Source organism: Homo sapiens, chromosome 5, assembly GCF_000001405.40.
Source record: "Homo sapiens chromosome 5, GRCh38.p14 Primary Assembly".
Taxonomy (NCBI): domain Eukaryota; kingdom Metazoa; phylum Chordata; class Mammalia; order Primates; family Hominidae; genus Homo; species Homo sapiens.
Window position 1 is genome coordinate 81,138,107 of NC_000005.10, and position 13,724 is coordinate 81,151,830.

At 41.0% G+C, this 13,724-nt stretch overlaps 1 protein-coding gene across 7 annotated transcripts in view; it reads left to right on the top strand.

Annotated features, from left to right (window-relative positions):
• The window catches only part of RASGRF2 (Ras protein specific guanine nucleotide releasing factor 2), a 269,800-nt gene that overhangs the window by 177,744 nt on the left and 78,332 nt on the right, over nt 1–13,724 (top strand). Inside the window, exon 18 of one of the 7 annotated variants that reach the window (XM_017009683.2) lies at nt 417–439. The exons of the other annotated variants lie outside the window; for them this stretch is intronic. Within the exon in view, the coding sequence (XP_016865172.1) occupies nt 417–424 (8 nt within the window). The 3' untranslated portion in view covers nt 425–439. Of the gene's footprint in view, nt 1–416; nt 440–13,724 lie in introns of those variants that run through there. 7 annotated transcript variants of the gene reach the window in all.

Below are 13,724 nucleotides of genomic sequence, written 5' to 3' on the forward strand. Positions count from 1 at the left end.
CGAGCTCTTTCTGCTGTAATCTACTGTTATCTTACTGGGTCTCTGTTAGGGTGGGGTGATGGTGGGGAGGAGGAGTCTTCTATATCTTCCAATGAAACCTTAGTGTTTTAATGGACTGGCATCTTGAAGCTGTGACCCTTACAAACGTTTCTCCAGTGATATAGCTTCTTTTCCCACTGCCCCCTGCTTCCCTGGCTGCTGCATTCCCAATTTATTTCCTTGAATCCCTGACCCCTGTAGACTATATTATTTTCCCCGTAGCTAAGAAGAAGGCGAGAGGGGACTGGAATGGGAAAAATGTCTTTTTCCAAGTGGGATAAGGCTTAGGCAAAGCCTTTTTCCCTGAAGAGCTGGCTTTCATTGTAGAGAAGGCCCTGGGCATATTTCCAGTGTTACTCTTCCCCTCTCCCTGCAAGAGCCATGAAGAGATCTTTCTCCGGTGTTTACTGGGAGGACTTGGTGTGATTCCTGGAGGTAAAGTCCCCAAATATGTGGCCGCCCTCCTAAGAATGTGGTTCTCAAGAGCGTCTCACTGTCATGCTGGTCCACACTCAACCTCCAGAAGTTCATCAATACAACCATTCAAGTGCTGCTACCAGGTCCCGGTTCCAGCGACTTCAGCTCCAGGTAGGCAGATCTGTGTCTCTCTGGATGTGCTTGTTTTTTTTTTTTCCAGAGTTTGTGATGACCATTTCCCTTGAAACCTCAGTTTTCTGGTGTGTCCAAGAAAAGTTGTTGATTTTCAGGCTATTTCATTCCTCTTGTATTATGGATGGATATGGTAACTTCTAAGTTCTTTATGTGTCAGAGCTGAAACTCAGATTCTCAACTTGGTGGGATCTTTATTGTGATCTATTAATTTTGTAGGTCAAATTGGGGAGAAATGCACATCTTAACAATACTCAGCCTTTCAATCCATTAACTGGGAATGTCCCTTCATTTACTGAGATCTTCTCTCACTTCTCTCAGCGATATTTTATATTTTTTAGCATACAAATCTTACATTTGTTTTGTTGCACTTATTCCTAAGTATTTGACTCTTTTTGGTGTTATTGTGAATAGAATTGTTTCCTTTTATTTTTAGATAGTTTGTTGCTAATATTTAGAAATATAATTGATTTTTCTAGGTTGTCTTGTTTTCTACAACTTTGCTAAATTCATTTATTAGTTCTACTAGGTTTGTTTTCAAAGATTCTTTAGGATTCTCTACATATAGAATCATTTCTTCTGTGAATAAAGATAGTTTTATTTCTTCCTTTCCAATCTATACGCCTTTCATTTTCTTTCTTTCTTTCTTTCTTTTTTTTTTTTTTGAGACAGAGTCTCGGTGTGTCACCTCCACCTCCCGGATTCAAGCGATTTGCCCACCTCAGTCTTCCAGATAGCTAGGATTACAGGCAGCTGCCACCACACACACTAAAATAACTTTTCGTATTTTTAGTAAAGACAGGGTTTCACCATATTGGCCAGGCTGTTCTTTCTTGCTTTATTGCACCGACTAGACAAAAATTAATTTTTATAAGCCTATGTTTTGAATTGCAAGCGCTTCTTTGAAGTCCTTGTCAAGCAGGGGAACTATACACTGGTGATGATATAGTTGGTGCTCATATTTTACAGTAATAAATATAATGATATAAACATACAATCAGCTCACAAAAGGCGCCTATCAAAATAATCCCACAAAGCTCTTTCCGTACACATCCCATTGGAATTCAGACTTTTTTTATTTTTTGAGAGATAGAGTCTTGCTCTGTCACCCAGGCTGTCATGGAGTACAGTGACACAATCATGGCTCACTGCAGCCTTGAACTCCTGGGCTCAGGTGATCCTTCCTCCTAAGCCTCCTGAGTAGCTGGTACTATAGTTATGCACCACTAAATCTGGCTAATTTTTTTTAGGTTTCGTAGAGATGAGGTCTCTCCACGTTGCCCAGGCTGGTCTCCAACCCCCGTCCTTAAGTGATCCTCCTGCCTCGGCCTCCCAAAGTGCTGGGATTACAAGTGTTAGCCACTGTGCCTGGCTGGAACCTGACTTTGAAACTAGATTAGCTGTACCTTAATAGGCCTTGTTCAGAATCACTGGGTAATTCCCGAATAAAAGTATCCAAGGATACTTCTTTTCATCTACTTGTTCTTTCACACCATTCTTCAACAGATTCAGGACACCTTTTTGTTTTTTCCTACTGGAGGGTATCCTAGTTTGGGACATATTTTCTATTGTTTTTTTCCAAAATATATTAAAAATATTTAAACATTATTTCACTAAAGACCAGTACTTTAACAATGGTCCCAAGTCCTATTTTTAAACACACACACACACACACACACACAGACACACACATGCACACACGCACACTCACTCACATTTTGCTTGGAATTAGAATTGTGGAACTGCAAAGCTGCAGCTTTCACTGGTGTGAGTACACTCCTGAGCCTGCGAAGCAGCTAGAATGCTCATGGCAGGTGGGCTTTGCATTCTCTTCCTGGAAACATGCCACGCAGCAAGCTAGATCACAGAGATATCTTTGCTGTGCTTTCCAAGCAGACCCAAATCCTGTTCCAGCTGGCCTGTCCACCTTCTTCCCTGATGGTGCTGCACTGCCGAGTTCCTTTTCTTTGCACTTTCCCTTCCCAGGCTCCCTGCAGGCTGCTCTCTTCTATTACTGTCTCTTCTCAGCAAAGGTACAATGTAGTTGATTATGCCTCACATGGCTTAATTGCTGCTTGATTACATTACTGTTTCATCCATGTCAGGGCCAGGCAAGTAACCTAAGTAGGGATGGAGAGGTGCTGCCATGTTTGAAGGACACAGCCACTGCCCAGCCCCTGCAGATTGTTGCCATGAGGGGCTGCAGGACTAGGGCTGTCAGATGTGTTTTCTCTGGTTTTTTTTTTTCTAGCCAGAAATCTTGATATTTATGTGAAATTTTCTGTTTTGAAATGTTGGAAGTGAATTCACACTCTTTAAAAATACTGTCCAGGCCAAACACAATACTTTCATGGGCCACATTTGGCTGTGAGCCACCAGTGTGTGACCTCAGATTTACTGTAATCACTTCCAGCTGGAGTTGTAGGTTGATACAGCTAAGATTTCCAGAGACACTCCTAAATATTAGCAGTAAACTCCTGAATCTCTTCAGTGCCACTCCCATGTATCTTCTATTCCTTTTACTGGGTGATTTTACAGAGAGTTGATCTCTTCTCGGGCACTGTGCTTGACCACATTTGCTTTCAGAGGGTAATCTTATCTCAAAGGTCTGAGCCTCCCTCACTATGTCATCCCCTCACTATGGAAGGGGCACAGTGGGGACCGTCTCTCTTCATCTCACGTTATAGATTCTGAAGCAAGTGTGGCATCTGGAGTGGTGAAGGGTCTTGCCCAGGTTCTCATAGTTATTGAGAATGAGCCTCAGATCTCTCCACTGCTAAACTGCTGCTTTCTTTGCCCTGATATAGCCTCTAATCCATATTAACTTCAAAAACAGCAAGAGCTTGGGAAGCTTGAATTGCTTAATTTTGTTATTAACTCTTGCTTCTGCCTTTCTCTGCAGCACGTCCATTTCTTTCCGTCTTTTTCCCACCTCTGTATCCACCTAGCATTCCCCTAAGTGATAGACACAGCAGTTTGGGGACTCCAGAGAGATGAGCCTGGGGGAAATTAGTAGTCTGTGGATGGGTTCTTAGTTGACCAGCAGTTAGCATTGAAGGATCTGTGATTTCATTCACAGCATTGTGGAAATCAGGGCCTTAGTACAATGGTATGATCTGGTTAGAGGAAGCATGTATTTCTGTATTGAGAATTGGATTAAATTTGCAGTGAGATATTGATTACTGTGAATTAAGTTGATGTCACATATATACTCTGCTGTCTACAGTCTCAGGATTTGTGAGAACACTCAGCACTGTTTAAATAGCTTAACAGCATGCATAAACTTATAAGAAAGGCACAGAATCTGGGCTTTTTCCAGGGTCTAGATTACAAGCTAAAATGTAAAATTTGGGCAGGAATTACATATCAATTTTCTGTTTCAAAATCAGAAGCTTAATATCATGTAGGTGTTGTACTGCATTGATTTCCAATGGAGTGTAGATGGGGTAGAATAAGAACAGCCGGGGACTTCCTCAAAATATTCCTGTCCCGGTGGGGATTCTGAGTGGCCTCCCAGAGGCAAGCAGTCCAGAAGAGAGATGTTATTGATGGCAATGTGCTGCACGTGTGAATGGTGTGAAAACAGAAGGCTAAACATCACTGCTCTGCTATCTGCCAGCCCTAAAAAGAACTATGCTCACTTTCTGAATGCAATTCTCTATCTTCTGGTTAGTCAGAGGATGATGGGAAGCAGGCTGCCTGTGTAACCTGTTTTAGCAATGACATTCAGAAGTCTAAGGTCAAAATGTTGGCTGCATGCAATGTTTCTTATATGGGGCCCTCACCATCTTTTCATTTTGGTGTAGCCCACCCTTGCCTTATTTCTTATTCATCTCCTCTTTTTCTGTATCATGCTGTCTTTTTACCTTGCTAGGTTCTCACCTTTTGGAATTCTGCTCCTATTTCATGGAGATACATCCTCTTGCTAGGACAGGCTATGTGCTTTGCAGCACCCAGTGTGAAATGAAAATGCAAGTGTCCCTGTTGAAAAAATTATTAAGAATTTCAAGAATTCTTATTAAGAATTATTAAGAATTTCAATTAAGATGCAGGGCATCTAACCAAGCATGAGACCTTCTAAGCATGGGCGGTGTGTGACACAGGCTGTACACCAAGAAACTGGCCCTGCCTCTTGCAGTCTTGTCAGGAGTCCAGCAGTCTCTTAATGCATCCAACTGGGTCCTGTAGTAAATTGCTCTCAGGATGTGGCCTCCAGTGCATTTCTAGGATTATATCTTGGTTCTGTAGAAGTTTTCTGTGGTGAAAAATATATTCGTAGTATCCCTTTATTTTAAAGACGAAAAAATCTTAGGCTGGGAAAGACCAATTAGAAAGACAAAAGCTATCTGAACATAGGACTTCTGATTCTTTGAAGAAAATACACATTTTTTATTTTTTATTTTTATTTTTTTGAGATGGAGTCTCACTCTGTCGCACAGGCTAGAGTGCAGTGGCGCAATCTCCACTCACTGCAGCCTCTGCCTCCTGAGTCAGGCGATTCTCCTGACTCAGCCTCCCAAGTAGCTGGGATTACAGGCGCATGCTACCACGCCTGGCTAATTTTTATATTTTTAGTAGAGATGGGGTTACACCATGTTGGCCAGGCTGGTCTTGAGCTCCTGACCTCAGGTGATCCACCCACCTTGGCCTCCCAAAGTGCTGGGATTACAGGTATGAGCCAACACACCTGGCCTGAAAAAAAATACAAATTTTTTAATAATAACATACAATGAAATACTTTTAACAATGCAGGAATGCTGAAAATAATCTCTGATGAGTCAGAAAGACTCTCACTATCTAATGATGATTCAGAGTAAGCATAAAAACAAAAATTATCATCATATAAGATTAAAAAGGGCAGGCACGGTGGTGCACGCCTATAATCCCAGCACTTTGGGAGGCCGAGGCGGGCGGATCATGAAGTCAGGAGTTTGAGACCAGCCTGGCCAACATGGTGAAATCCCATCTCTACTAAAAATACAAAAATTAGCCGGACGTGGTGGTGCACACCTGTAATCCTAGCTACTCAGGAGGCTGAGGCAGGAGAATTGCTTGAACCTGGGAGGCAGAGGTTGCAATGAGCTGAGATAGTGCCACTGTATTCCAGCCTGGGCGACAGAGTGAAAATGTCTCAGAAAAAAAAAAAAAAAGACTAAAAAAATTCTGTTTCCTGGACTTTTTGGTTATTTGAATCTTTATAATAAAGGCAATAGGGCAAATAAACAGTGGTGGTCATGTCAGTATTATGCAAAGCTGAAAATTATTATGCAGGAAAGTTAGAAATAGTAGACAGCCTCAAAAATATACAATGAAAAGTGGAATTTCTCAATGAACTTTTTTGGGAGAAATAACCAATGATAATGTTGTGATTATGTAAAATTTCATCAGCCTCATACATTAAAAGGATGTGACAAGCTTTTAGTTAAAAAAATTTTCAAACTGTTATGTCAAAGATTAAATGTGGTAGTCAAAGTAATCTATGGAAACATACTGCTTTTATATGCTTGGTGGTGGAAGTCAGCACAAGTAAACCAAACATTAAAACTTCTAAGGTCTATGGTAAGGGAGGAAGGGGCTTTCAATCTGCCAGGAGAATATCCCCTTAGACTGTAGGTCCTGTGTGTGTTCCTTATTTATGCACCAGCTGTGATTAGTACAGGTTGTGCCCTTGCCGGCACTTACAGCCTATGGCTTCACAAGTGCTGGGAAGACATAAGGCGATAACTTGATAACATGTAGTTAGCCTTTTTAATTGATTGTAAATACATAGCAGTTATGGGTCATTTTTATAGAGGTGAAGCTCCCAAAGCTTCACCTACATCTTGCAAACCATTCTCCTATGCTGCCCAGATGGGCATTTCTGTATATAAATTGAGTGGTTGCACTTATTATCAACATAGCAATGACAACAGTGATTTAGAGTTATACACTTCAATAGGCATACAATATACTGAGCAATGGTCCAAGTTTTACATATGTTAACTTATTGTGAAGTAGTTAATATTACTATACTCAGGTTCCAGCAGAGGATACAGAGAGTTAAGTAAATCACCTAAGGTCACTTAGGTCACACAGGGAGTAAGTAGCAGATTTGAATCCTGTCATCTGGCTCTTCTAACCACCACCCTACTCTGCTTGAATTTCATCAGTACTTTATTGCCTTGGCCCAATGCACACTTGATGTTTAAAAAATAAGGGAAGAATGCCAGACTCAGTGGCTCACGCCTGTAATCCCAGCACTTTGGGAGGCTGAGGCAGCGGGAGGATCACCTGAGGTCAGGAATTCCAGACCAGCTTGACCAACATGGAGAAACCCAGTCTCTACTAAAAATAGAAAATTAGCTGGGTGTGGTGGCATACATCTGTAATCCCAGCTACTTAGGAGAATTGCTTGAACCTGGGAGGTGGAGGTTGCAGTAAGCCTAGATCATGCCATTGCACTCCAGCCTGGGCAACAAGAGTGAAACTCTGTCTCAAAAAATGAAAAATAAAAAAAATAAGTGAAGAAGGGGCCCACAGTCTAACCTGTCACCACCCTAACCTCTGCCTTATACATATAAGGCATAGCTGGAACCTTGTTATTTGGGTTTCTGTAGTGCTGCCATTTTGTTTAGGAAGGACATGAACCTTTCTCTTGCATGGTCTGGTGGTTTTAAAAATATACCACAAATTCTTTTCTACTTCTCCGTTCAAGAAATGGTGCTAAATTTCCCTTCTCTTTAGTGTGGGCTGGACTTAGTAACTTGCTTCTAACAAATAAAGCGGAAGTGATCGTGTATGACTTTGGCACCTAGGTCATCAAAAGCTTAGCACCTTTCATCTTGGTCAATCTCTCTCTTGGATCACTTGCTGTGGGGAGAACCAGCTACCAAGTCATGAGGAGAGTCGCACAGGGGAAAAAACTAGGAACTAGGTCTTCTGCCAACAGCCATGTGAGTGAGCTGGGAAGCAGACCCCGTAGCCCCAGCACAGCCTTCAGATGACTGCAGCCCTAGTGGACACCTGGACTCCAGCCGCATGGCCCTGAGCCCGATCCACCCAGCTAAGCCTCCGAATTCTTGTCTTAAACAAACTGTGAGATAATAAGTGTTTGTTGTTTGAAGTCTCAAATTTTAGGGTGATTTGTTAGGTAGATACAGATAACTCATACAGGTGGTATCACAGTAGCCAGTAAACTTTGACCAAATTATTCATAATCACGTTAAACGTAAGGGGCATATTTTCATTTTTTGAAAGAGAAGCATTTCTGGGCATCCCCTGTGGAACACAGCACCCTGGGCTTATACTCAACCAAATGTTTTGAAATTGAGGGAGTATATTTGAAATTAACATGTAGCTTAAATCTGCCTTGTATTTCAAGGTTCCCGAACAGTCTTTCTCTTCTCTCATCACCTGAAGTGCTCTGAATTGAATAGACTCATTTTTCTCTGCTGTTTGAGAGCCTAGAGCAGTTTGATTTTAACACAACTGTTGCTTAGCAATAAGAAGGAACTTAATGGTTCCAGTCTATTCTGCAAACTGAGAGGAGCCTCCCCTGTGTAGCTATTGTCTGTGTGTAAGGCTGAATTTTAAATTGCAATTATCATTTGAAGATGAAATTGAAGCTGGCCTATGTGACACATTCTATGTACCCTAGCAGCTCAGTTGCCCAGGGAGTTAGACTGGCCCAGTTTGAGGTCCCTTACAGACATGCTGGTCTCTTGGAATTATAAGGTATTTAGAAGTATAAGACAAAGCTGGAAAGAAACTAGTAAATTCCTCATTGGTAGGAAAACAGGTGGTCTGTATTCACTATATACTTATTTTGTGATTCTGGGACGAAAAACTTGGCTCTTAAATTGTTGTGACTAGAACCGGGGCCAATGATTTTAGAAAAGAATCCATAGAGAAGTGGGAATTCTAAAATTTGTCGGGGTGCGGCAGAGGGTGGGATGTCTAGCCACCACTGACCTCGCTACCCTGCTCTGTTGGAAAGGCTCCCAGAAATGTCAGCTGCTTAGAATTTTTAAACACAAGGTGTAAATCTGATTGTTCATCAGAAAGGTTGGTATCATTTCAGAAGCCTCCACCCAAATTCAAAGTGTTATTCTTTCCCACTCTGTAGACTAAATTATGTACAAGCTTACTTGATTTTTAAAAATCTTCAATTGGTTATATAGGTCTTTCTGTGTACACACAGTACCATATCAGGTACTGTGGAAGGATAAAAATGAAATACATTGAGTAAAAGTACAAGAGTAGAAGGCATTGCTTCTACTCTTTAAGAACTGGTCATCTAGTTGAAAAGGTTAGATGAACAGGCATAGAGTACATGTTAAATGATCAAGATGTGAACTCCTGCACGCTATATAATAATCAGTATAATTATCAGCCAATGTTGTTAAACTCTGGATTTGAAAACAAAGTGTCGCATTACCAAAATAACAAGGCTTCAGTGCATGACCCTGAAATAATAGGTTAATATAGTTTCAAATTATTTCATAGGCTCTTCCAATTAGTCAGCTTTCTCTGGCAGCAGATTTTTTTTTTAACTTCGAAACACTTTCTTCCTCTGGATCTACAAGTTATACTTTATGGGTATGCATTTCGTGGTTTATGTAACAGTCTGAGGAATTTAGCTGGTATATTAGATTAGGTGGAGGCAGCATCTGTCATACTGGACTAAATTAATATTTCCAAGATTTCTGCACATGCATCATAATGAGAAGTGATGAGAGACATATTGGAGCAAATTATACTTCACTGGTTTTGAAAATCAAGAGTCATAAACCTGCAGGAAACCCCAACTAGCCTAACTGAAATCGAGTAAAATAATAGTGCTGTGATGTGCTCTTATGTGTGTGTTTTTTAAAATAAATGTAACAAACAGCCATGGGGGACCAACTGTCTCCTTTTTCAGATATTACTGGATCATCAGCTGTAAAGGCTCTATGTTTAATTATGTCTAGCATTTGAATGGTAACAGCGCAGATGTTACCTGCCTATAATCCTCCTCCTCTCTACAGATTTTGCTTTGTTCTTGCTTCTTGTTTTTGAGATCCTGCACACAAGTTGAAATTAATTAAAAACAGTAGAGCAACTTAGTCTGGATAAGCCTTCATCTGGCAAATAATGTTACACTGCCAGAGATTTCCTCTGCCAAAGTCAGTTCTCTTAATTCCCGTAGATGTGTATGAAACAAGCCATAGTCCCCTTTAGAGGCAGGCACTAAGTGCATACGGTCTCAGCAGAGGTTAGAGTCTCCTGCCTTGCCTTCCTTACCTTCCTCACTGGGTGTTAATGACCTGCAAGTGATGTTCTTTTTGTCTTTTTTCTGTACTAGCATTATGGATTTACGAAGACCTACGTATTCATTACAACGAGCCTGTGAAGTAGGAAGGCAGATATCATCTTCCTCTTCTGACAGTTGAAGGAACAGGCTCAGTGAGGGACAGAGACTTACTTACTCAAGGGCAGTTATAAATCACAAACTGGACTCCTAGTCTAGTGCTTTAGGTTACTTTTGTTTAGTGGTATTTCACAGCCACATCTCTCTGATATTTCAAGGGACAGCTGAAGAATTAATTGGTATGCGGCTCTCACCCAGTGATTTTAACTACCAACCAGCTTCTCAGATTCAGCCACTTCCTGCATATAAGAAAGCTCTGAGAACTGCCTTTTATCCCTTTGTGCAGTTCATAGTTTCGGTTTAATTTTCCAACAGGGCTCAGGGCATATTTGGATACTGATTGATATACATAGAAGACATATTTAGGGATCTGAACCTATTTCTTTGTTCTCATAAACATTGCTTCAGCTAAACATGTAACAAAACCATCACAGCAAGTAGAAGAAACACCTGAACGCACCAACTAGATTTGATTTATTTCCTTTGTCATTTAAAAATCCACCCTCGAACATCACACTCTGGGGACTGTTGTGGGGTGGGGGGAGGGGGAGGGATAGCATTAGGAGATATACCTAATGCGAAATGACGAGTTAATGGGTGCAGCACACTAGCATGGCACATGTATACATATGTAACTAACCTGCACATTGTGCACATGTACCCTAAAACTTAAAAGTATAATAATAATAAAATAAAATAAAATAAGAAGAAGATATACAATCAACAAACATACCAAAAAATGCTTAACCTCACTAATTATTGGGGAAATGCAACCTGATAATTAGTGATAATGCAATTAAAACCACAAAGAGAGACCACATTACTCCTGCAAGAATGGCCATAATTTAAAAATTAAAAAATAATAAATGCAGTGAAAAGGGGACTCTTACACTGTTGGTGGAAATGTAAACTAGTACAACTACTATGGAAAACAGTATAGAGATTCCTTAAAGAACTAAAAGTAGAACTACCATTCCATCCAGCAATCCCACTATTGGGAAAATAAGTCATTATATGACAAAGACACACGATCATGCATGTTTATAGCAGCACAACTCACAATTGCAGAAATATGGAACCAAACTGTATGCCTATCAACCAATGAGTGGATGAAGAAAATGTAGTATATATGCACCATGGAAAACTACTTATGCATAAAACAGAAGACAAAAGTGGCCTTTGCAGTAACTTGGATGGAGTTGGAGGCCATTATTCTAAGTGAGGTAACTCAGGAATGGAGAACCAAACATCGTATGTTCTCACTTATAAGTGGGAGCCAAGCCATGAGGATGCAAAGGCATAAGAATGACACAATGGACTTTGGGGACTTGGGAGGAAGGGTGGGAGGGGAGGAGGGGTAAAAGGCTATATATTGGGTACATTGTACACTACTTGGTGATGGGGGCACCAAAGTCTCAGAAATCACCACTAAATCACTTATCCATGTAACCAGAAACCACCTGAAACTGTTGAAATAAAATTTTTTACAATTAAAAAAAAAAAATCCACCCTCCATGAGTTTCACCATCTTCTGATGGAGACTTAGGGAGAGAAGCCTCTCATTCTCAAAGACTGGCTGCCCTGTCACATTGTTCTTTCTAAACAGCTTTATGCATATATATTTCACATACCACCCAGTTCACCCATTTAAAGTATCTAATTCAGTGGATCCTAGCATTGCCCTGCCATCTTTAGTGGGCTTCCAGTCTTGATTTTTGAAAACACCCAGGCTGCCTACTGTAGAAAGAGTTCGCTTGGGATCTATGAGAAACTCTTCACTCTGAGTACTGTGGGGTGGGCGGAGGATACAGTTAGGAAGCTCCATGCCCTTGCAGGTTCACAATCTAGGCCTGAGGATTTGAGCTTCTGTTCTTATTACTTTAAGGAGGGAAATAAGGGGCTGTGTGCCTGTTCCAAAGGACAATGGATGGACTCTGATTGCTGGTGTCTGGTGATTTGGCAGTGGGAAAAAGAAGTTCTTAGGGTACGTGGGCCATAAGGGCCTTAGGGAGAATGGCCATGAGGGCACGTAAGAATGGCTCTCCAAGGGGTCAGAAGTAAAGAGTGGTCAAGAGAGTGAATTCCAATATCAAATAAACCTGCACCTGAGTTCTGCCGTTTATTTAGCTGTGTGACCTGGGGCAGCCTCTTTAAGTCTCATCTTCTCATCTTTAAAATGAGAAGAATGACTGTACCCAACTCACAGGGCTCTCCTGAGGATTAAATGAGGTGAACCATGTGCAGTTCTTAGCTCAGCACTTGGAACCATCTAAGTGTTCAATGAATATTTTCTGCTGTTATTATTGGCTGTTTCCTCCACTTGATTTATAAGCTTCTTGAGATCAGGGACGGTGTGTTCACCATTAGATCTCCAGCCCCTATCGTCAAGGCAGACCAGAGTGTTGAAGTGAAATAGATGCATCCCCCCATCATCCATTTATTCTTTGGATTTCTTCCTGACTCACTTATGTGCATGCATGTATGTGCACGTGAACACACACACACACATACACACACACAAGCACACGACTCCCCAGACTGATTTGCAGGCAGGAATTAGTAAAATAACTGCAAAAGTTTAAACTAAAAAGTTTAAATTTAAAAAAACATATACTAATGGTGTGGCATCCCATGATAATTCAATAAAAGGAGTGTAATTTCTGGGCACAATCAAGAGACCCAGAATGAATCTGTGCTATATAATGGTGTTCACCACAGATGATGCTGTGTATAATGACAGATCACTGGAAAGAGAAGAGCCAAGAGGCTTGCCAATAGGTTTTGCAGTAGTAATGTGAGGAGATGCTTATGACCTGCACTGGGACTGTTCAGGAAGGGGAAGAAGTCTGAGAAATGTTAGTGTAGACAGTTTTGATGGGCTATATATATTTTATTAAAGTTTAATATATCTTATAAACTGAGTTATCACAGCTATATGTGAAAGGCTAGGTTAATAATATGATAATGATCTCTGTTTACAATTAGCTAAGTATTAGGTGTCACAAGATATCTGACTGCGAAGAACCAAAGAGAGGGGACTAGATGTACTTCAAAGATGGGCTTGTCCAGCCCTCTGGCCTCTGGAGAGGCATCCCCTGAGCATGTTCCTTTATGCCTCACATCATTTTAAAAAGGTCTTGAGGCAGATCTCTGGCTGTACTGCAAGTACAGTACATGTCTGGGCTCCATTCAGGATAGAGTTGAAAGGAGATTGGGTTTTTGGTCCACAGGAAAACTGGTACCTTTTTTTTTTTTTTTTTGAGATGGAGTCTCGCTCTGTCACCCAGGCTGGAGTGCAGTGGTATCATTTCTTGGTGTCTAGGACTTATTTATGGCTGCTTCTTGCCCATTGACACTCTTCTACTGCCTGGCTGACTTGTGCCAGAAAGAGACAGTTTTATTGGATATAGAAAATTCCAAGAATGGAAAGGCAGGAAGGTTAGGATCAAGGAAAGCACCTCCAAGATGCTCGAATACTTCCCTGTTGCTTTATTTCACTGACTGTGGTCACTTCTGCTATTTTCTTACTTAAGAGTTCTTTGAGACTTCCTCTGACACTGCTCCAGCCTTGCTAGTATAACATGGGTCCAGCTGCTGGAACTGACATTCCTGGGGTGATTTTCATAGGAAGCAACTTGGACCATATCCAGGACTACACTCAGCTATATTGGTGCTATGATCATGTATA